The sequence below is a fragment of the Homo sapiens genome, chromosome 3, assembly GCF_000001405.40.
Source record: "Homo sapiens chromosome 3, GRCh38.p14 Primary Assembly".
NCBI classification, from domain to species: domain Eukaryota; kingdom Metazoa; phylum Chordata; class Mammalia; order Primates; family Hominidae; genus Homo; species Homo sapiens.
In genome coordinates, this window is record NC_000003.12 from 107,652,619 (window position 1) to 107,673,901 (window position 21,283).

A 21,283-nucleotide genomic window follows, 5' to 3' on the forward strand; every position below is an offset into this window, starting at 1 on the left:
ATTCAGGCATGGCTTCCTGCATTTAATGCTACTCTGAAAGGTGTTGGATCAATTAAGTATTTTTATATTGAAGTCTGTATTCCCTCTGATCTCTATTATAGAGAAGTGTGTTTTCCTAGGAAAATAAATGGATCTAAGGCGGGGAACTTGCTCATAACATTTCTCCTAGGATCTTCATATATTTTAGTGTAAAATATTCATTTACTGGATATTCTATATAAACACATAAACATATGTATATATGTATACATGTAATTCTTTCATAGAACCTCTTCAAGATGCTACAGGACTTGTTTATGCTAGAAAGTTTACTAGAAAGTCTATTTTGTGCATGTCTGTATTCCCAAAATTTAGAAATAGCATCTGGTACATAGAAGTTGCTCAGTAAACGTGATGAATTCGTATTACAGGAATTCACATTTCATTAACCTATATTCCACTGAACTTGGTGTTGATAAGCATCTCCTGGTCTACATGGAAATTTTTCCCAGACTTCGTTCAGGGAGAGGAGTGTTCTTCCAAATTACGGTCTCTTTGTGCCTTCAAGTTTGCCATTAGTTTTATAATCAATAAATATTAGTGGGCTGAGAGCTTAAAATGCAACCACAAAAAATTTCTCTATACCTGTTGGCTCATTTGTAGCTTACATTGAATCAGCAGGTGTTTGTTAAGATTTATTAGTCTTCTAACAAGTGCTTTTCCAACACTTCATCAGCGACCCTGTGAGTGGAGTACATGTGAAGGTTGTGAGATTTAAGGCAGGCACTTTGGTTCATGTTGGGCTTTAAGAGATGCAATGTGATACCTGGCTTCAGTTAATGTGTACCAGAAAGGTTGACTGAAGTCAACATTTAGGTGTTTTGTTCTGGGATGTATTTTTAGGATATTGCTATATTCAAATTGATCTATGAAGCTGATAGACAAGAATATTGTGTTTGTTTTGTATTATCTTGTATAACCTGCTTAATTTGCAGTTGTTCTGTCTCTGCTGTGGCTATATTACTATTCTTATAAAACGGATGAGTTATCTAATTGTTTCAGTGTTCTTAACATTTACCGTAAAGCAATTTATTACCAAGCGTCTCCTTATGACAGAAATGTTCTGTTTTAGAGTATCGAACATTACCATAGGCACTTAGAATGCCCTGGTTTCTGAGAGAGCCAGCCAGATGTGGAGGAACTGGCTTCCAAAGGGGCTTAGCAACCTACTGTTTATGTGGTGAGCACTGTCCTAATAAGTTGTGCCACAATAATTATACTGAAGAATTGCCAAATAAGAGAAAAATTAACACCTATCAAATGTGAGATGTATCCATGTGCAGAGTAGTATATACCCTCCTGTCCATGCAGGTAGCACCTGGATGGACATGAAACTCCGTCCATGCCTTCAATAGAGTTTTTGAATACCACTATGTTTTCAGCATTGTTAGAGTTACCAAATCATTAAATAGGTGTATTATAAAAGTTAATGAAGAAAAATTTGAAGTCAGCAGCTATTGTCAATCCCCTTAAATACCAAACCTCTTTTTATAGCAATCATTTTGTCAGGCCATTTGGAAGGACAGAAGCATACAGATCATCTTTCAATTCATTTGGTGAAGTGAACATTTAAATAAATCATAAAGTTTTCAGGTTTGAAAGTTTAGTTCCTGTTAAAATGCTGGGTGTTGCCTGTCTTTATTATTCACCTAGAGTTTCACTTTTTAGAGAACAAAAGATATATCTTTCTAATAAGGCTATTATATCTTATTGATAGTAGAAGTGTTTCAATCATGTCTCTTTTTATGAGTTTTTCCCTAATCAGCAAAATTATAGATTTTTTTTTTACTGGCTTTCTGCTATAATAGAATATTTTATACATTGGAGTTTATTATGTGCCTCTGAAAAAATATTTTAGAACTTTTACTTTCGAATACTTATAAAGATCTTGATTCTTACCTCTAGATTGTCAGCTCCAAAATGCTCACTATTGATTCCTGATATTAATATGGGTAGGCAGAAACTTAAGCGTTTCCTTATAGGAGACAGATCTAAATGGATCACTTAAAAAATATGTTTTTGTTTTGTTTTGTTTTTGTTTGTTTGTTTGTTTTTGACTGTAGGGTGATCTCTTAGAAACATGGGCTGTGGAGTCAGATAGACTCAAGACTAAACTAACTCAGCTGTTTACCGTAACTGGGATGTGGTAAAGTTACTTAGCTTTATGTGAAATGGGGCAAATACCTGCCATGTAAAGTTGTTAGAGGATTAAAGGTACTAGAGGGTATAATGTCAACCCAGCATATGGCAGGCACTATTAAGGAAATGTGTTCTTAAAATAGGCAGCAAGTAAAAAATGATCTATAACTTTTTTTGCTTCTTAACTGGTCCTTGAAATTTAATTTCATGTTTATTGCTATCTCTATTCACAGCAAGAGAAATGTCCGGCTTCAAACTGTACATTTTTACTATGTTGGGAAAATCTTTATTGAATACAAGATGGACTTGCTTTCCTGACGATTTCATTAGGAAAGAATAAATTAACATTTACTTTTATTGTTGGATTTCTTAAAATATTTTCTGTACAATTCTAAGTGATAGAAGTTTGATTTTATTTTAATTGTACCTCCCCCAATTTTGCAATTTTAGTAAAGCCCAAACGTATGAAAATACTAGGAAATAAGTCATTTGTCATTCAGTGGATTATAGTTATTTAAGAATATTATTGCTACCTGCTATTAGTATTAACAAGATTATCAGCCCAAACTATGTCAATTTTTTAAGCATAAGAACAAATTTATATAGTCTAGATAATTTTCTTCAAAGACTATAATTATTTGAACAAAACAAGGAGATATCGTATGATTCTTAATGAGAATTCACTAAGTATGGGAACTTAAAGTATGATAATTAATTTTTTTTTTTTTTTTTTTTTTTAAGAGATAAGGGCTCATTCTGTTTCCCAAGCTGGAGTGCAGTAGTTTCATCAGAGCTCACTACAGACTTGAACTACTGGGCTCAAGTGATCCTTCTGCCTTAGCCTCCCAATAGCCAGGACTTCAGGCGTGTGCCACCACACCTGGCTAAGTTTCTTTAAATTTATTTTATTTTTTTTTTTTTTGAGACGGAGTCTTGCTCTGTCCCCCAGGCTGGAATGCAGTGACACAATCTCAGCTCACTGCAAGCTCCACCTCCCGGATTCGCGCCATTCTCCTGCCTCAGCCTCCCAAGTAGCTGGGACTACAGGCGCCCACCACCATGCCCGGCTAATTTTTTGTATTTTTAGTGGAGATGGGGTTTCACCGTGTTAGCCAGGATGGTCTCGATCTCCTGACCTCGTGATCCGCCCATCTTGGCCTTCCAAAGTGCTGGGATTACAGGCGTGAGCCACCATGTCCAGCTAAGTGCTATTTTTTAAAAATATTACACACTGATAACTATATAAATATTTAAAAAATTTAAATAGCTCATTCAACCATGATCTTATTCTGTTATTTAATTCATAAACTTGAAAAGAGATGCAAAATTTTCCTTCATTTCAAGTTAGTGGTTTAACATTTCATAATTGGTCCAAGAGAAAAAAATATTTTTTCTCTATCTTCAGAAATGTTCTGTGAAAGTATTTATTTTCTAATAATTTTCATGCACATAAGCATAAAAGCCAGTACAGCTTGGTCTTTGTCCCGTGTATCAATAGCTATTTTGTATTAATTTTGAATATCTCTCAACAATTAATATATCTAAACTTGTTTTCAAGGTATTTTAGTACTATCTATGAAATACTTTGGTTCCTTCTAAAAGCTGCTTCTTATTTAGTGTGTATGTGTTAGGTGTTTGTGGTTCTTTTATAGCAATTTTCCCTTTTCCTTGTTGAGTATGTAAACATCCAAACCATAACCACCATGGATTTTATAGACTTTAATTGTATACTTTTAAAATTATTAATATATATTGAGAAATCTAAACCTTTCCAGACTGCTTGTGAGAGTTTGTGCTCTGGATCGTTATCCCTCTTTAATCTTTCTCCTGCTCTGTTCTGTTTCTTTTTAGAACCTGAACAACGTATAGTGGTCTCACTGGAAAAATGTTTTCTTTAAAGATAAATAATGTATTTTCTATTCCTCTGTATAGCTAACAAATATTTACTAATTATCATGTGCAAGGCAGTGCGTTACACACTGTCAAGATCAGGATGTGGTAATATAAGGCAATGTCTAGGCACAAAAGAGGGAGATATACAAATAAACTTCAAGTTCTGAGGAAGACCTTAAACCCCACTTAAGGATATCAGGGAAGACTTCACAAAGAAGAGGAAATAACAGAAGTATGGAAAGGTGAATAGACTACTTGGGCCAGTGGGATGGGATACATGTAAAGTTACGGTGGGAAACTTTGGTGTGAAGGCAGAGATGTAAAGAGGGTCTTGAATGTTAAGGTGAGTTTACTTTTTTTTCCCCTCAAAAGGCATATGGGCCACTGAAAACTTCTGAGCAATGGATATAAATGAGATGGAACAGAAGGAAAAAAAGGTAGACATTGGAAAGACTGGTTTAGGGGGCTTTACTATTATCCTAGGTAAGAAAACATTCATTCTTCTGTAGTGTGTTGACAGTTGTAAAAGGGGCTATTATGAGAGACATTATGAAGGTTATACTCTGGATCTTGAAATATTTTAGATTGAAGTATTCCAAGTTACAGAACTAGTCTTTCCCATTTACGGGGCAAAAGTTAATGGATACTCAGTTTTAAGGATTCCTTCAATGACAATTTTCTAAAACACTTGATTCCTACTACTATTTAGCCTCTGTTTTGTGTGTTTAGTTATCGTAAATTTAGCTTTCACTGTGTTTCTTGAATATGAAGTCTAGGTATCTGTCACCTGAATCAATTTAGAAACTATTAATCTACAGAACTTGACAATAGACTGAACTCATTTTGGGGATGTAGAGGGACAGAGAGGTTAGGAGGCAATGGAGGGTATTTAAAAGAAAGTCAAAGATAGGTTTTTAATTTAAGTGTGGGTGTTCACAAGAGTGCTAATATTGCCATCAGAAGTAAGGAGCTACTAGTATTACTGATTTGTGGGAGGGGGAGGTGAAGTTTGGGATGGATTGGATTTGAACACACAGGATATCCATGGCATTATATTTAGGATGTAGTTATAAATTTGAGATGAGGTTTGGTAGAGATTCAGACTGAACATAGGTTTAATAGAAGAGAGAGGTAAGAGCTGAAACTTTGAAAATTGGTGAAAGATAATATGCCTAAAGTGGAATTGTTGAAAATACCCATTCTTTGTTAAGGGAAGTCTAAAGGAAAGAAATCCAATCAGATCTGTGGTGGGAAAAGCAGAATAGTGCTGTGCAAGATGGGAAGACTTTCAAGATTGACAGTATTGAAAATTTAGGGATATCTAAATGCCTGAAAAAAGTTCCTTGAGTTAGTAATCCAGGGGTGAATAACCTTTGGAGAAAGCAGTTTTATAGAGCAGTCAAAGAAGTAGCCATGTTGTATAATCTTTCCAATATTCCTTCTTTGAGTGCCAAGTTCTTGATTTTCTTTTTAGCTGAAACTGTGTGTTGAGTCACTGTCTTCGTTGAGTAATCCATAATGATTTACAAATCCTCTCCCTCGGAGCATAGAACTCATCTTCTATAAATGTAGTTGTAATATTCTTTAAATATGTTACCTTAGACTATTTTAAATCAAAGCTCATCCAGGTATTAATATCATTTCCTCAAATGCACTGAAGTGATTTTCTTTAAAATGCCATCAGCAAACAAATACTTTCAAATGCCTTACTCATAAGTCTTATATTTATTATAATTGGCATTACAGAGGAATGAATAATAAATTTCCTGTCATTGTCGACTCTTCTTTCACACTTAGTGAAACTTAAAATAAGGCCTACTCTTTTAATAAAGATCCTTTAGAAAGCCCTTTGGAGTATTTGGGCCAACTGCATATGCAGTTCCTAGTCTTAAGAAACAGATACATAGCCACTTTGGTTTTCATCTTCAGAGAATGGTGGTAAAGATAAACAAGACTTGCCCTAGGTAGTAATGATGATTATGATTAAAAACTACAGCTGTTATTTGTCTTTTGTGTGCTAATTTCTTTGTTTGTGTGTGTGTGTGTGTATTTTTCTTCCTTGTCTTCACAGTGAGCCTTAAATGTAGGTGTCATTATTCCCATCTTATACAAGAGAGAACTGAGTCTCAGAACATTTAAATAGCTTGTCTGAGCTTCTTGACTTGTTAAAAACAGACCTGAGATTCAAATCCAGCTCATTCTTGCTTTCAAAGACTATATTCTTTGCATAGTCTGTGCAGTTTTATGATGTATCTGAAATTTGACCTGTAACACCTTTGATGGCAACTACTGACCCCAGTTTGGGAATTCAGTGCCTTATTACTTTCCTCCCCTTTTCTACCAACTTGAAAGAATAGATCACTACTTTCCATTTGTTTAAATAAATATATTGTCAAATGCCGTTATTAAGTCAGGCATTCTTCTTTATATTTAATAGTATTATATATATTTAATCTTCACATCAGTCTGATGAGAGGTAGGCATATTTTCCCCCAACATTTTATTATGAAACTCACATACTCTCCACCTAGATTTGGCCGTTAACATTTTATTATATTTATTTTATTACATATCTGTCATCTTTTCATCTCTCTATTCCTCATCAATTCAACTTAATTTTTGATGCATCTGAACATATAGATATCACTACAGCTCCCTAAATGCTTCAGCATTTATATTATATAATATTTATATTAACTAGAGTTCAATATTTATGTATAATTTTTTGATGTAAGTCTACATTCATTGGTAGCATACATCTTAAAAGTACATTTTCTGAATTTTGATAAATGCATACACCTGTGTAACCCAAATACCTATCAAAATATAACCCATTACTTAGTACTGGTAGGTGCTTCTTTTTCTTCTCATTTTTTAGATGGGGAAACTGAAGAACAGAGAGGTGAAATTATCTGCCCAAGGTTACGCTGCTAATAAGTGGCAAAGCTGGAATTCAAACTCAGGCTGTCTGGCTGCAGGGTTTGTTCTCCTAACCACACCACCACACTGCCTGTAGATTATCCTCACATGTTTGGGTATCCTTTTACATTCATGTGCATGAATGCACTGTTTATTTTTAACGTAAGTGTGTAGATACAGAAGTGGTACCCTGGGTTTAGTGAGACTAGAAATGCTGTTCTAGAAATGCATCAGTTCCTAGCAAGAGGTTTATGGCAGGATAAATTAAGAGGGACGTATAATATGACAGATTCCCTTCGTTGAAGTAGTAGGGTGAATCTCTATGTAATAGCTCTGTCTTAACTGGCATCCTTGATTAATGTTTCCACACATAGCAGTGAAGAGATAGTGAGTTTTCTAATGATGACACTGAGGTTCAGGAAAATCCTCAAGTACCACTTGAGCAATTAACCGTAAATTATGTTCAGTATAGCTTTGTATTAAGCATTTTTGCTCTTTTATAATTAGTAGAAAATTGTTCATCTGTGTGTGATATATATAGTATCACTCATCTAGATATCTCAGACTCTGAAATAATATAATTGACTAATTTGGAATTTATAAGTTAAATTTATAAGGTTTTTAACAAATATATTTGTAATGGAATTATTTGACTTTTCCAAATAAATTGCATAAAGATGTAAGGATTGCAACAGTTTATATTAAAATTTTTTTCTGGTTTGCAATACTTGGGTGGCCTGATGAAAAGAAATTCTTCAACTTTAGTCTCTTTCCTGCATTGTGTTCATACCACTCATATTTTAAAAGTTGACCAGTACTTTTTGTTCACTTCTTAAATGATGAAAAAGAAGCCATCATGTAATTTTTTTAAATCGTAAGTATTGTGCAAAAAGCATTAAAAAAAAAAAAAAAAAAAAAAGCATGTAGCTCACAAAACCTATCCAGTCACTAGAGGGCAGAGCAGTACTGTACTTTAGACCTTATTTGAAAATTTCTGGTTTAAAAATTGCTGAACATGATGGAAAATATATTGATACACAGTTGAATAGAAATTTCTTTGTGTTCTTATTGTCTTATTTTGCTGTAAAATCCAATAACATGCTTATACTTTTATCAAAGGAGCTTTTCTGGCAATTCCATTGAATGTTACTAAAAAGGCATGATTATTTAGAAGAGTTTAAGTGCCCCTCAAAAGAGAATACTCGTGCATACAAAGAGCAATACATTTTATAATTTCTACCCTATGAAGTACCCTGAAATTGGATTGCAGTGTAGACTTTAGGTGAGACATTTGAGAGAACAAGTAGTTTTGAGCACCGGTTCTTTACTAGTGCTTAGCTCTAAGAATTCATTGAAATGCAGAACATCAGTTTATCTTTCCAGTCAGCTGAAATGTGTTGAATCATTAAGACTGAAATTACAAAGTTGTAGAAGCAAATAAACTAATTCTAGCCCTTTTTAAAAATTTTTGTCAAGTGACTGTTCACTTAATTTCATTTCTGTTCTTAATTTTTTTATCATTCTGATATTTTTATGCAGATTTTTTTATGGTATATCTTAAAAATATCCTAGTGAGTAGTGTGAGTAATTCAGTGTCCCATAAGATAGAAAAATTTTATCCTTAATTATGTTTATTTGAATTTTATTTTACAAAACCAGTTTGGATTTCTTTAATATTCTACTAGGGACAATATAGGATACCAGAAAAAGCAGTGGATTTTGGAATCAGAAAATTTGGGGGCCTCGATTATCATTCATTTGCTTGTGTCTTGGGCAAGTCACATTACCTCTCTGACCTTCATTTTCTAAACTGGGAAAAATACTTCCTTATTTATAGCTGGGTTGTTTGGAGGATTGTGTGTGTAGATGTATCTCCAAAGATGAAACCCTGTGAAGATGAATTTTAATAGGTAAAGTTACAAGCTCAGAAAAACCATGGCAATAACTTCAAAATGGTTGACGGTATCACAGATTTAGTAACATGAGAGCACCTATTACATGAGTAAATAGAACCAGAAATGTGGTTTCAAAACCAAAACCCAAGTTCAGATTGCCAGCTTCCTCCCTGTCTGTGATTTCTCTGGCTGCTTAATCTCTCCATTAACTTCTGACTCTTTTGCTCCTCTCAACTCTTTATTTCTGTCCTCTGTTTATTTCCATGTTTCCTCTCTCTGTGTTTCTCCTGACTGTCTCTGGTCTCTGTGTTTTTCTTGTCCCAGGCACCCTCAGGAAGACCCCAAGCCTCTAGCAGTACCTGGTATCATCTCCAGCATGTTATAGATGTGGAGGATTCACTGGGATATTGAGAAATACCAGAGGCGAATTGTTCCACTGTAGTAAGTCATTCAGCATTTGTTAAGTGACTACTGTTCACGCAGCATAGTTGGTGGTCCTTTTGGGGAAGAAGAATTTGTTAGGACACAGGACAGAAGAAATAAATTTGTAAACTCTTGTCAGTGGTTCTTGCAGGCTAGACAAACATGCAAATGAAAAAAACAATGACAAATTAAAAAGCTGACAGATAATCATATAAACGAATTGTGTTTTATGTGTGCTGATGGGGCCTAGGGTTAATGGAGTAGAGAAAGCCAAGTGGTATTAATCAGATTTCCTGCATGAGTTTAAAATTAGGTTTTGAAGTACATTTGGAAGAGAGATGAGGAAAGAGAGAGTGGAAGTGAGTAATTTCTGTGGGGCTTGGCAAGCCTTTTTGCTTCCCTGTGAGTGAATCCCTGACGGTGGCGGGTAATGAAATGAAAGTGCTAAGTTTCAGTCTCCCAACAGCTAACTTTACTTCCAGTCTTAGAGAAATTCCAGTTATGAAAAGAAGTACAGCCAAGTTGAGACTTTCCATAAACATAATTGGTATCCGCTGCCAGTTTAGAATTTTTAGGGTTTAAGTGTAAATTGTGATTATATGAAGTAATAAAGAAGTACTGTGACATAAAATTGATACAGACCATTAGAACATGGTTCAGGGATGCATTCTGAATAACATAAACTGAAATAGTAAGCTGAAATATAACAAGTCTGGGTTTTTTTTTTTTTTTTTTTGCATTAGAAATTTATTTTTGCTGTTGTATTTTTAGACGGTCCTAGCTAGTAGATGCATGCTTTTCACGTTTGGATATCAGAGTTGGATATGGTTTGAATCCCAGCTGTACTAGCTTTTAAACGTTGGGCAATCTACTTCACAATGCTGAATCTCAATTTCCACATGTGTAAACTAACACCGGAAATATTTACCTCAAAGAGTCCTGAGTACGTGCTAGGTACTTGCTACTCGCGGATACTTAAAAATACCTTTAAAATTGTTTGTTAAATAAATATGTTATTTCTGAGAGCTTTTTAAAAGTAAGAATGCTATATATACAAGAATGTTTGTATATACAGAAAATGCTATAGATACAAGAATATTTATTGTGCATGGATATTAATGACCCTTTGTACCTTCTGCTAATAAAACATTAGAAAACTGTGTTTCACAGTAATAACAGGTATAATGTCACAATACTGAATTAAATATTAGAAATGGTGAATTAGACTCTCTGTATGTCCCTATGGTCTGCAAGCTGAATATGTGCCTTTAAACAAAAAATTTTATTAACTTGAGAAATAAGTTTGTGGCTATAGTCAGCACCCTATTATGCTACCTTCTCTACCATTGTCTGTGTTTATAATTCTGCAGTCATATCTTTAGAATCATGATGAATCTAAACTATGATAATTTTTTTTGCTACCCTACACAAAAATATTTATACTATGTAGATAAGGTACAAAGAATAACATTAACACGAATAACTGAGAACCTACCACTAGTTTAAGAATAGAACATTACCAGTTTCTTTGTAGCCCACAGTGTGCCCCACCCAGATTCCATTGCCTCTCTTTACCCCCTCATCACAATCCTTAATGTTGAGTTTATTACTTCTGTGTTTTTCTTGGTCGTTTTTCTCATACTTATGTACCCCCTACATTAAATTTTGCCTGTTTTTAAATTTTATATAAATAATACATACTACATGTTTTCTTCTGCAACAACTATTTTTCCTGCTCAACATCGTATTTGACTCATTCCTGCTTGTCTTTGTAATTCATTTATTGTCATATATGTATAATCTTTTATTGTATGAAAATACCATAGTTTATTTACTTTCTTTTAATGGCTATTTAGCTGTTTTTCTTTCTTTCTCTTTTTTTTCCTTTTTTTTTTTTGAGATGGAGCCTCACGCTCTCGCCCAGGCTGGAGTGCAGTGATGCCATCTCGGCTCACTGCAAGCTCTGCCTCCCGGGTTCACGCCATCCTCCTGCCTCAGTCTCCCAAGTAGTTGGGACTACAGGCACCTGCCACTGTGCCCAGCTAATTTTTTGTATTTTTAGTAGAGACGAGGTTTCACCGTGTTAGCCAGGATGGTCTCGATCTCCTGACCTTGTGATCCACCGGCCTCGGCCTCCCAAAATGCTGGGCTTACAAGTGTGAGCCACTGCGCCTGGCCTCTTTCTTTTTCTTTTTCTTTTCTTTTATTTTTGTCATTGGAAATAAAGCAGCAGAGGAAAAGTTCTTGAGTCCTGTATATGCCCTCTTTATGTACATATTACTTCTTCAGGATATATGTTCAGGAGTTGAATTGTTAGGTGATAGGATATGCCCAACCTGAAATTCCACAAGATAATGCCACGTGGATTTCCATAGAACTTGTTACATTTTATGCTCCCACTAACAGAATGTAAGTATTCTCTCTCTCTGGCTCCTATAGTTCTTTAAAATTACTAGATTTTTGTTTAATATGTTCACCATATCTTTAGGAATGATACTTTGCATGAATGTGACTATATCCGAGCAGAAGTTTAAAAATGGAAAAGATTTTTTAGTTTGCCTGTAAACATCATCTTAACAAAAACCCTGATGACCCTCATTTTTTAAAAGTTAGTTTTACTCTTTGTGGAAGCTGCTTTTATTTTTGTTTCCCAATTGTCACTCATACCTTTTCTCAAACTCATTTAAATCTAGACATCCTGAAATAGCTGGATATGTGTGCTCACTAAATGTTTTGCCTCCAGAAAACCTTATCATAAGAATAAATGTTCTCTTGCAATAAATGAAAACTGTCAGCTGTTTCTGACTTCTAAGAAATACAGTTTTTGCAGAGAATGTACATTTCTTTTCTTTTCCCCCTAATTCTTGTTGAGATAGAGAAAGAGTGACCCACAGAGGACTATTTGCAAGCTGCAGCGCTTTGATCAACCCATCTTTTGTTCTGTATTGCAAAAGTTCCAAAAGCTTGAGTAAATGACTCAGGTCCCCTTTTCTGTCCTTCGCCCTCTTTTGTTTTTGTTAGCCAATGATTCTTTTGGTATCTGATATTTGTACACACTGTTCCAATTTTAATATCAAAAGTTCCTCCTAATCTCGTAATGGGTACTTCGTGTTTTATAATTTTAATTGTCTGATCTCAATATTTTGCGTTTTGTCAAGCTTGCTGCCACTACTACATGTATCTTCTGCAGTTTCCCAGGAAATATACCAGGATCTATCCTATTTCCTGGTACTTATTCAATGGGTATTTATTGAATGTAGAAAGGAAAGATGTAAATACAGTCAGCACTGAAATACCTTTCCCCTGCTGAGCTACAATAATTTCCCTAAAAGCACTAGGCCGAAATCATGAATACCTTAAATAGTTTTGCTAGTAAGTAGCTTTATTAAACCATAGCCAGTCATTTCTTCTTGAGCTTTACTCTACTTTTTTTGAAAAATTAGAGTGGTAGACCAGTGAACTGTAAGATTCCTTTTGACGCCACAATTTTGTATTCTATCTTCTAATTGAAATGAAAAACGCTTTGTCACTGTCTGAGCACCACTACCAGAGTCTGAATCTATCTACCTTACTGAGCTTTAGGCCCATAACTGTGTCACAGCAACCTGCCAGTGATTGTCTCTCATAACCAAGCAAGTGGGGGCATACATTGAACTTCTCTTCCTCTCTTTGTTCTTTAGGGTTGATTTGTTCTAGTATAAAAAATGCCTTTGGCTTCCCGATTTCATTTATCAGGCAACCCAGGCATTGTTCTATGCTAATGTCTGAGTTCTGCCTTCTTGCTCCTTCTTCTCTTCCCTCAACCCGACAGCCATGCCCAGGGCAACTCGTCCTTACCTTTGTTATTTGCTATACAGCATAACCCCATGTCTTTTCTCACACTCTAGTTACCATCTTTGAGTCAGTATTGATTCTTTCTGTTGGGCTTTTCCTTGAAGTCGTTGAGTCTGTCTGTATCTGGTGCTGAAGGCAAGTTGTTTCTTCCTTTCTATTGTGGTTCCTCTGCTTGGGACACCTCAACTCCAGGTGAATGGTGAGTGACAGCCTGACTTCTTTCCTTGCACCTTCATGTAGTCTTTCCATTAACTATTGCAGGGAATTGCTAAACCACTTTCAAGGAGTTATTTGACTCCAGATTCTCACGTGACTAATATTTCCTAAATGTGTTGCTGGTCCTGGATTCATCTTGTGAGTACTTTTGAACTCTGCACCAGAGGCAAAAGATGCCAGAGATCAGGCTACAATGGGAAGGGGAACCAACTTCCTTTTAATTCTCTGTAGACTGTAACTAATCACTCCTGAGGGTCCTGGACAGAGAGCTATGTATTTGTTCTTTAACAAAGGTCAGGTATAGACTCTTCCTCACCTTTATTCAGCGATACAGAATGTGTACATTTCTGTTGTGCTTAGCCAGTGGACACATTACGCTCCTCATGATGTTAATAGATCTGGTTTGTGAACATTCCATTTAAGTCTTGCAACTTTTAGCATAAAATGAGAAGGCAGGAGAAAAATTTTACAACTAAAAAACAAGGAAAAGGGGGGAAACTTCTTTAGTGAAGGATTTATTTTTAATAACACTAACTGAATTCTGAATCAAATTTGGAAGCTTAAAAATTGTGAGTTTTTAATATGTCAAATTATTCATTATTTTTTTTGAGACGGAGTCTCGCTCTATTGGCAGACTGGAGTGCAGTGGCGCGATCTCGGCTCACTGCAACCTCTGCCTCCCGGTCCCGGATTCAAGCAATTCTCCTGCCTCAGCCTCCTGAGTAGCTGGGGCTACAGGTGCGTGCCACCACGCCCAGCTAATTTTTGTATTTTCAGTAGAGACGGGGTTTCACCACGTTGGCCGGGATGGTCTCAATCTCTTGACCTCATGATCCACCCGCCTCGGCCTCCCAAAGTGCTGGGATTACAGGGGCGAGCCACTGCACCCGGCCTAAAATATAAAATTATTTATTATTGAAAGCCTAGCTGTTAACCTCCTACCCCCAGCCTCCATACACATAAAACACTCAAGATTCACTGGGCTATACAGCCATGAGGCACAAGAAGCCAGACTATCTGTGAGAATTCACCCCTCCTAACTAACTGCTTACTTGACAAAACTGTTAAGGAAACGTATTATGCCCAATGTTCTGTTCAGAGAAGCAGTTAATACCACCCTATCTCAAGAAGAACAGATTACTTTTTGTTCCTCAGGAATTCAAGGAGAGAAACATTCTTTTATGCTTATCAGGGAAAAAATGGGAGAAATTACTGACATGAAAACTTTACTGATAGGAGAATGTTCATTCTGACTGTTATTATAATGTGTCTTTGATTAATGTAAAAGTCTTGACCTGTTAAGTATTCACATTAATATTTTAAATTATCAGTGATAAAAGTTTCTTTTGTAGTATTAATTCACTTAATATTTTATTAATTTAGACAGGCTTGAAAGTGCTTCATAAAACCTACAACACTCATTTAGTATTCTTATTTTAATTTAATGTCTTCTGAAAGCCATATATTCTCTAATGATTTAAGTTGCAACAAATATTAAAAATAAACTATATTATTAATAAAATAAGTTGGACCATCCTTAAGTACAGTAGAAAAATTTATAAATATATAAATATGTGATACAAAATTTTCTTTCTGATGATGCTAGGAAATGCATTTATGATAGATTCTGTATTGGATGGGCTTAATTTGGAAAAGGTTTTATAAATGCTAAATTAAGAATAAATTTTGAACTGCATATTTTTTACTCTTATTATCTATTATACAGTAAAGTTGGTAATAAATATAAAAGTAACTCAGCATTGAGGTTTATGTAATTATCCAAGGAAGTATTCTAAAAATAGATTTATCTATATTATTAGAAAGTATTTTATTAAAATAGTTTTGAATAGTTTCATTCAGATTCAGGTCTTGCTTGAATAACAATATTCATTTTGTCTCGTAGTTTGTATTTGAAATTTAAAAATTGAAATGTTTAAATGGATCTGTAATTTTGATGAAAAAGAAGTGAGCAATGAATCTGTTTTCTTGAATATTTTCTAGTATTTATCTTAGCTATAAAAATTTACATTTCCAAAAGCCTGACTAGGTTTTATTAAATTTGAAAAATAAGTCGCTGATTGTTTTTGTAAAAACAATGGAACAGAAAGTAGAGCAGCTGCACTTTAATATTGATATTTATTTTGAGGAATTGGGACCCTTCTAGGAAGCTCACCTACATATTATGTTGTTGAAAATTACTAAATATGGTTTTCTTCTTCTATGCAAGTGCCAAACTGTTTTCTCCCAGCAAATCTTAACTCAGAATCTGTGTGTTTCTTTTGTGCTCAGCCAGTGGACACTACTCCTTTTTCCTGTGCTAGCCAAGCACTGTGTCTCATTTGAATGATGACATTATTGCCCTTAGGTTAAGGTCTGTTTTGAACTTAGAGGATTCTTGGCTGCCCTTTTCATCCATTTATGGTTATTTCCTGTTAACTTAACCCCTACACAGCACGTATAGATGTGTGTTTCTTATAATCAGGTTGATGGCAGTATTATTTCTATGAGCCCGGAGCTGCTCAATAAACATTGGGCTTGCGTTTTCATCCCTTAGTAACCAGCTACCTGCTAAGAACCACTCTGGACCTAAGAAAGTTCATGCTCTGGAACTCTGAGTCAGAGAACTAATAGAGCTCTGTGCCAAGGCAGGAGTGGGTCTGATTTTCACTGAATGGAGTCATCCAGTCAGCTGTTTCTTCAAAATTAAAGCTCATGGAGACAGCCTTTCTTCTTCACTCATTGGAGCTTAATCAAGATTGATTTGAGTACGTTTCCTTTTCTTTCAATCTTTAAAAAATGTGCCGGAGACTTTTGTTGATTTGTTTGAAATTATTTGCATTTAAATGGCTTCCAAGACAGTTTTCACGCAAAGGTTCTGGCTCTTATTTTTTGTACTTACTATGGTTGACAAAATCATGATGGGACTGCGTTCTCCTTTTTCTTGATTTATGCTATTGTGGCAACTTCAAAGACAAATAAGGGAGACACCTACTTTTTCCCATCCCCCTCCCACATTCAGAGGTTAAAGTTAAGGATGAACCGTGGACAATGTTAACTTCAGAGATTTAAATCTGTGGTCTTCAATGGGAACTTTAAGACTCCCTGCCTGTAATTAAGAGGCTAGCGATGATGATGATGATGATGATGTGAATATTTCTGAGGTAGAGGTACAATAAGAGGCTGAGTCACAGATTTAAAATTATCATTTGAGATAATAATAGAATAGTGTCACAAGGCAGTTTATGGCTCATGCTGTAGAGAATTAAGAATTTAGAGGAAGGAGATGTTATTTTGCCTAGGATCATATTTGACTTGCATCAAGAGGAAGAGAGAAGGGCCGTTTTAAATAAGGGATCTCTGGACAAATGATAAGAGGCAAAAAAGCACTCCATTGCAGGGAGCTGGGCCTTGAATACATCTTCTGGGATATAGTAAAAGGCAAAGGAAGTTTGAGGCCAGGTTTTGAATATGTGGGTGGGGAGTGAGGTGGGAAGGGGCACAAAAAAGATGCGGAATACCAAACTAAGGAATTAAATTCTAGGAGTAGACCGTAAAGGGCCACTAAAGGGTTTGATTTCAGGGAGTGAAAACCTCAAAGCATGATTCTAAGTAAATCTGATACAGATTAGTTTGAATGGAGATTATCACTTAGAAACTGCTATAGTTATCTCTTGGGTTGAAGTGGTGCCAAAGGGTTTGAAGAGGGAAGGAAATATGCATTTTTAATAGTATAATAGTATGTATACAAGGCAGTATATATGAGGTACTCTAAAAGGGATTTTTCAGATTTATTATCTGTTTCCATTGTCACCATCCTGTGAAGTAGGCCCTAGTCTACTTTTACAGATTAATGAACAGAGGTCCTTAGGTTAGTGGTCAAAATTCATAGCCAGGCCTGACTGCCAAGTCGCCAAGCCTTTTAACACCCCTGCTCTGACTCATGAGCATGGAAATGGAAAACAGATAAACTTTTTAGTTTTTATTTTGAAAATATTACTTTATTAGGAATTATGAAATGGATCCAAATTAGGGTTATATTCATACATATTTTTATATATATTCTTTCATGTATATTAGTACACCTGAGTTTGAATCAGATGTTATGTATTAGACTTAGCTAATTAGATTTAACTATTTCTTATTCACAGCATTTGAGGAAATGCACTTTAAATTGAGAGAAAATGTCAGTTAACAAAATAGATCACTAATACATTTTATTAATGTATCAACTTAAAACATACAGTAAGAGAATACATTTTCTACCAAATAGTAATTTTAATATATTAAGAAATGAAACTGATGTCTTAATTTTCAAGAATAAAAATGAGATTTGTTAAAGGATATAAAATGACAGCTAAATAGCAGGAATAAGTTCTAGTGTAATACTGCTGTTGAATGACTGTAGTTAATAATAATATATAGTTTCAAATAGCTAGAAGGAAGATATTGAATGTTCCCAGCAGGGAGAAGTGATAAATGTTTAGGACAATGGATATGCAATAATTACCCTGATCTGATTACTATACATCGTATGTATTGAAATATCAACACCATAAATATGTATAGCTGTTATATGTCAATTAAAAAATAAAATAAAAATTTCAAAAAGAATAAAAATTATGGAATAAACAGGAATGTTTAGGAAAGAAGAGTTTAGGTTACTTTATTCATTGAAAGCTAGAAAACTTTTTAGTTTCATATTTGTGTTACAAATATAAAAATGTTGAATACACTTGACTGGATTAATAAGAAATAGTAGAGGGAAGCTTATTTTTTAATGAGAGGATCACTTTAATGAATAATAATTATTTTACAGATGTTTGAAGAAGTAGGTACTGACACCCAATTAATTGCCCACTACCAACACCAACAACATCTCTACCTCGGCACTCCCTGCACAAGACATTCTGGAAGGCTGGTGTTTGTTTTTAATTGATGCTAGCTTTTTATAATTTGTTGTTTTTTCCTAAAAACAATTTTAAAAAATATATGGCTAGTTGAGGAATGTCTGTTAGTTGTGTTCTGAGATTTACGTAGATCAGATTGCTGTTTTATCCTTAAACATGTTAAATGGATCCTTCCTGTTGAGCATTTTAAAAAAATTTTTTGGAGTATTCTGATTTTTTTTTTTTTCATTGTACAACCTGCGCTTCCTTCAGTGAAAATAGTTTTGGGTTCACAAACAAGAAGCAGCTGTCTTAAATATGTTCATTGACTCAGCCGAGTGTCTGCAGTTGCCCAACAAAAGTTATTTGATTTTGGGTAGTGCAAAGAAATCAAAATTAGCATTCAGATTATATTTTGGCTGCTGTAATAAGAGCTTCTGTCTGTAACTTGAAGTTCTGAAATCCACATGTAGTGTATTTTTGTCTTAAAATTTGTAGAGATTTGAGCCTAAACACCACTGAGACTATTAAGAGAACTTAACTGATAGAGCTCAGTATTTCTTTTGAATTATTTTTCTGATCCTCAGAGGAAAACATTGAGTCTTCATTTCAAGATTGACCTAACAAGGGCTACATCTCAATGTTATTCACAAGCTGAGAAAAAAAAGTCATAATTTTGTGTGTATTATTTGGTGAAATTAAGTGAATGCTTTAGTTCACTGAAGAAAGTCAATTCGAAGAATGACATGGACAAGGCCAGAAACATACAGAGAAACATATCTCAAAAAGACTTTTCAGAATTGTAAAATTGAGCGCTGCAGAATAAAACAATTCACACATTTTATTAGATCCGTATAGCACTGCAAACTCATTGCCTCCTTGAGAGACCATTGCTGTAAATATGTAGGGAGCAAAAGAGTGTTGATGAGTCTCTGACATAACTAAATATTCATAATGGAATAGCATGCTACAAGAATAATGACCACACGAATGCAGCCTAGTTTTACGATTCTGTTTTCTCAGATCCTTTTTGAAAAATCTTACATCTTCAAAGTCTCTACTTGTGATTCTTTATCTCAGACAACTACAGAAAGATCAACATGGTTTAGAAAAGTCCTAAACACCAAATTTTAATCGTTGATAAAATGAATTTTTGAAGTTTTGATATCCACATGTAGTGTATTTTATTTGAAACTTGGAGGCAAATTGGAAAAGGATATCTTCTGTTTCATAACTTTCTAATGAGGCATAATCTTATGTCTGGACTGTTAAATTGAGAATTAGAGCAGATGTATTAGAGTCACTTGTATGAGACCTTAAGTATCTCTTCACCTTAGCTCCCCAAGTGTAAAATAATTATGTTAATTATATAACTGTTAGTGCAGGTTATTTGAGAAAAATTGTTCTTATCTTCAAATCACAATCTACAAAGTACGTATTGAGAGGATTTGACCTATTAGGAGAAAGGTCCTGGCTATTTTATAACCCTGTGATACAAAGTGATATTTTGAGTTAAAGGGGATCTAGGATAACATGACTGCAGTGTTCAAGCATAAGTTGAGTATGGGATTTCATGAAAAGAACCTATGTTGGAAACATTTTGTAGTTCAGGTAGAAAGTGTGTATTTTTGAAGCTGTGTTGTACTATCGCCAGTTCCTCAAGATAACATCTCCTAAGTATAAGACATGAATTATTTAGAAGCTGAAGTAGGGAATGGTAAAAGAAAGCAACCAGAATAGAGGAAGAGTATCAAACTAGGGTATATTTTTATTAAGTAGAAGAGTCCATTGGAGTACAGTGTGCTGAAATATTAGGATCTTATGATAAGTATTTAGTTCTCATATATTGTTTTGCCTTTTGTTTTTAAAGGGCCTGGCACAGCTGTGGGTGCTCACTACATTCACTTTGAATGTGGAATGACTGTTGGTCATTTTAATGAAGTAAATTTTAATGAAGTGAAATTTTTATCCTTTGTGAAGAGTGTCACGATTTACTTTTTAAAAAATTAAATAAACTTTTGTTGGCTTTAGAATTGTTAGTCTTTCTCAGTGATAAATGAAAATGAAAAATTAACCCCATGGATGACTTTGTACTAGCCCCAGCTCTTTCATCTTGAACAGGTTCTAGGACCTTGAGCAAATTTCTTAATTTTGGCCTGAATTTTCTTGTCTTTCAATATGGGAGTTAAATTGGATAATCTCTGAAGTATGTTCTGACTTCTATAATTTTGTGATTTTGAATGAAGTAAAGTAGGAGTCCAAAATGAATAGAAGATTATTCCTAAATCAAGTTAGATGAAGTTAATAAGAGTTATTAATAAGAGTTTCACGTTAACAGACTTTTGATAATAAAGAAAAGAGAACAAGAGTTAGAGAAAACGTTCCTTGTAGTAGAAATGGTTTCAGGAGTTGCAAAACCTTTTATGGGGTGTAATGACAATTAGATATGTTTGATTAGGGCAAAGAGTTTTTCTTGGGGTATGGTAGTAAGTTTTCCTATTATGTTGATAAAGGCTCAACAATTTCTAATAAAATGGCCATTTAAAATCTGTTTTTAATAAAGCTTTAATCTACATTTTTTTAAACCCAGCATTTTGGCTTCTGTACCTACCTGCCCACCCCAAAAAACCTTCACAGGAATCATATTGTTTCCTTTTTAACAGTTGTATAATTCCCCAGAAAAATTCAGAGCATAGGCAAAAGGTAAACATTCTAAGACTCTCAAAGAATGAAAATAATACTGATTAAAAGTATGCCTCCTTACAATAAAGTTTTCTGTTTTATAAATTGCTGCTTATTAGAGACAACCGGATAATTATTATAGTAAGACCCACTTCAAGTTTTTTTTTAGAAATTTCTCTTATTCTGGATAACATTTGACTACTGTAAACTCTTGAAAATTATCATAAAATACTACATGTAGAACTATTTTTAAAATAAAGAAGCCCACTTGTTAGAAATACATTTCTTCATGTATAAACACATACCTTTTCCACATTTGGAAGTCTTGTTTCATGTAAAACACGCATAGAGCAGTTT

The 21,283-nt window shown here is 34.5% G+C and overlaps 1 protein-coding gene across 16 annotated transcripts in view; it reads left to right on the forward strand.

Annotated features, from left to right (window-relative positions):
• The window catches only part of BBX (BBX high mobility group box domain containing), a 288,378-nt gene that overhangs the window by 129,657 nt on the left and 137,438 nt on the right, over positions 1-21,283 (forward strand). For 2 of the 16 annotated variants that reach the window (XM_005247644.5, XM_024453649.2), the window contains one exon: positions 9,210-9,326. The exons of the other annotated variants lie outside the window; for them this stretch is intronic. The gene's annotated coding sequence lies outside the window, so the exon portion shown is untranslated. The remainder of the gene's footprint in view (positions 1-9,209; positions 9,327-21,283) is intronic. 16 annotated transcript variants of the gene reach the window in all.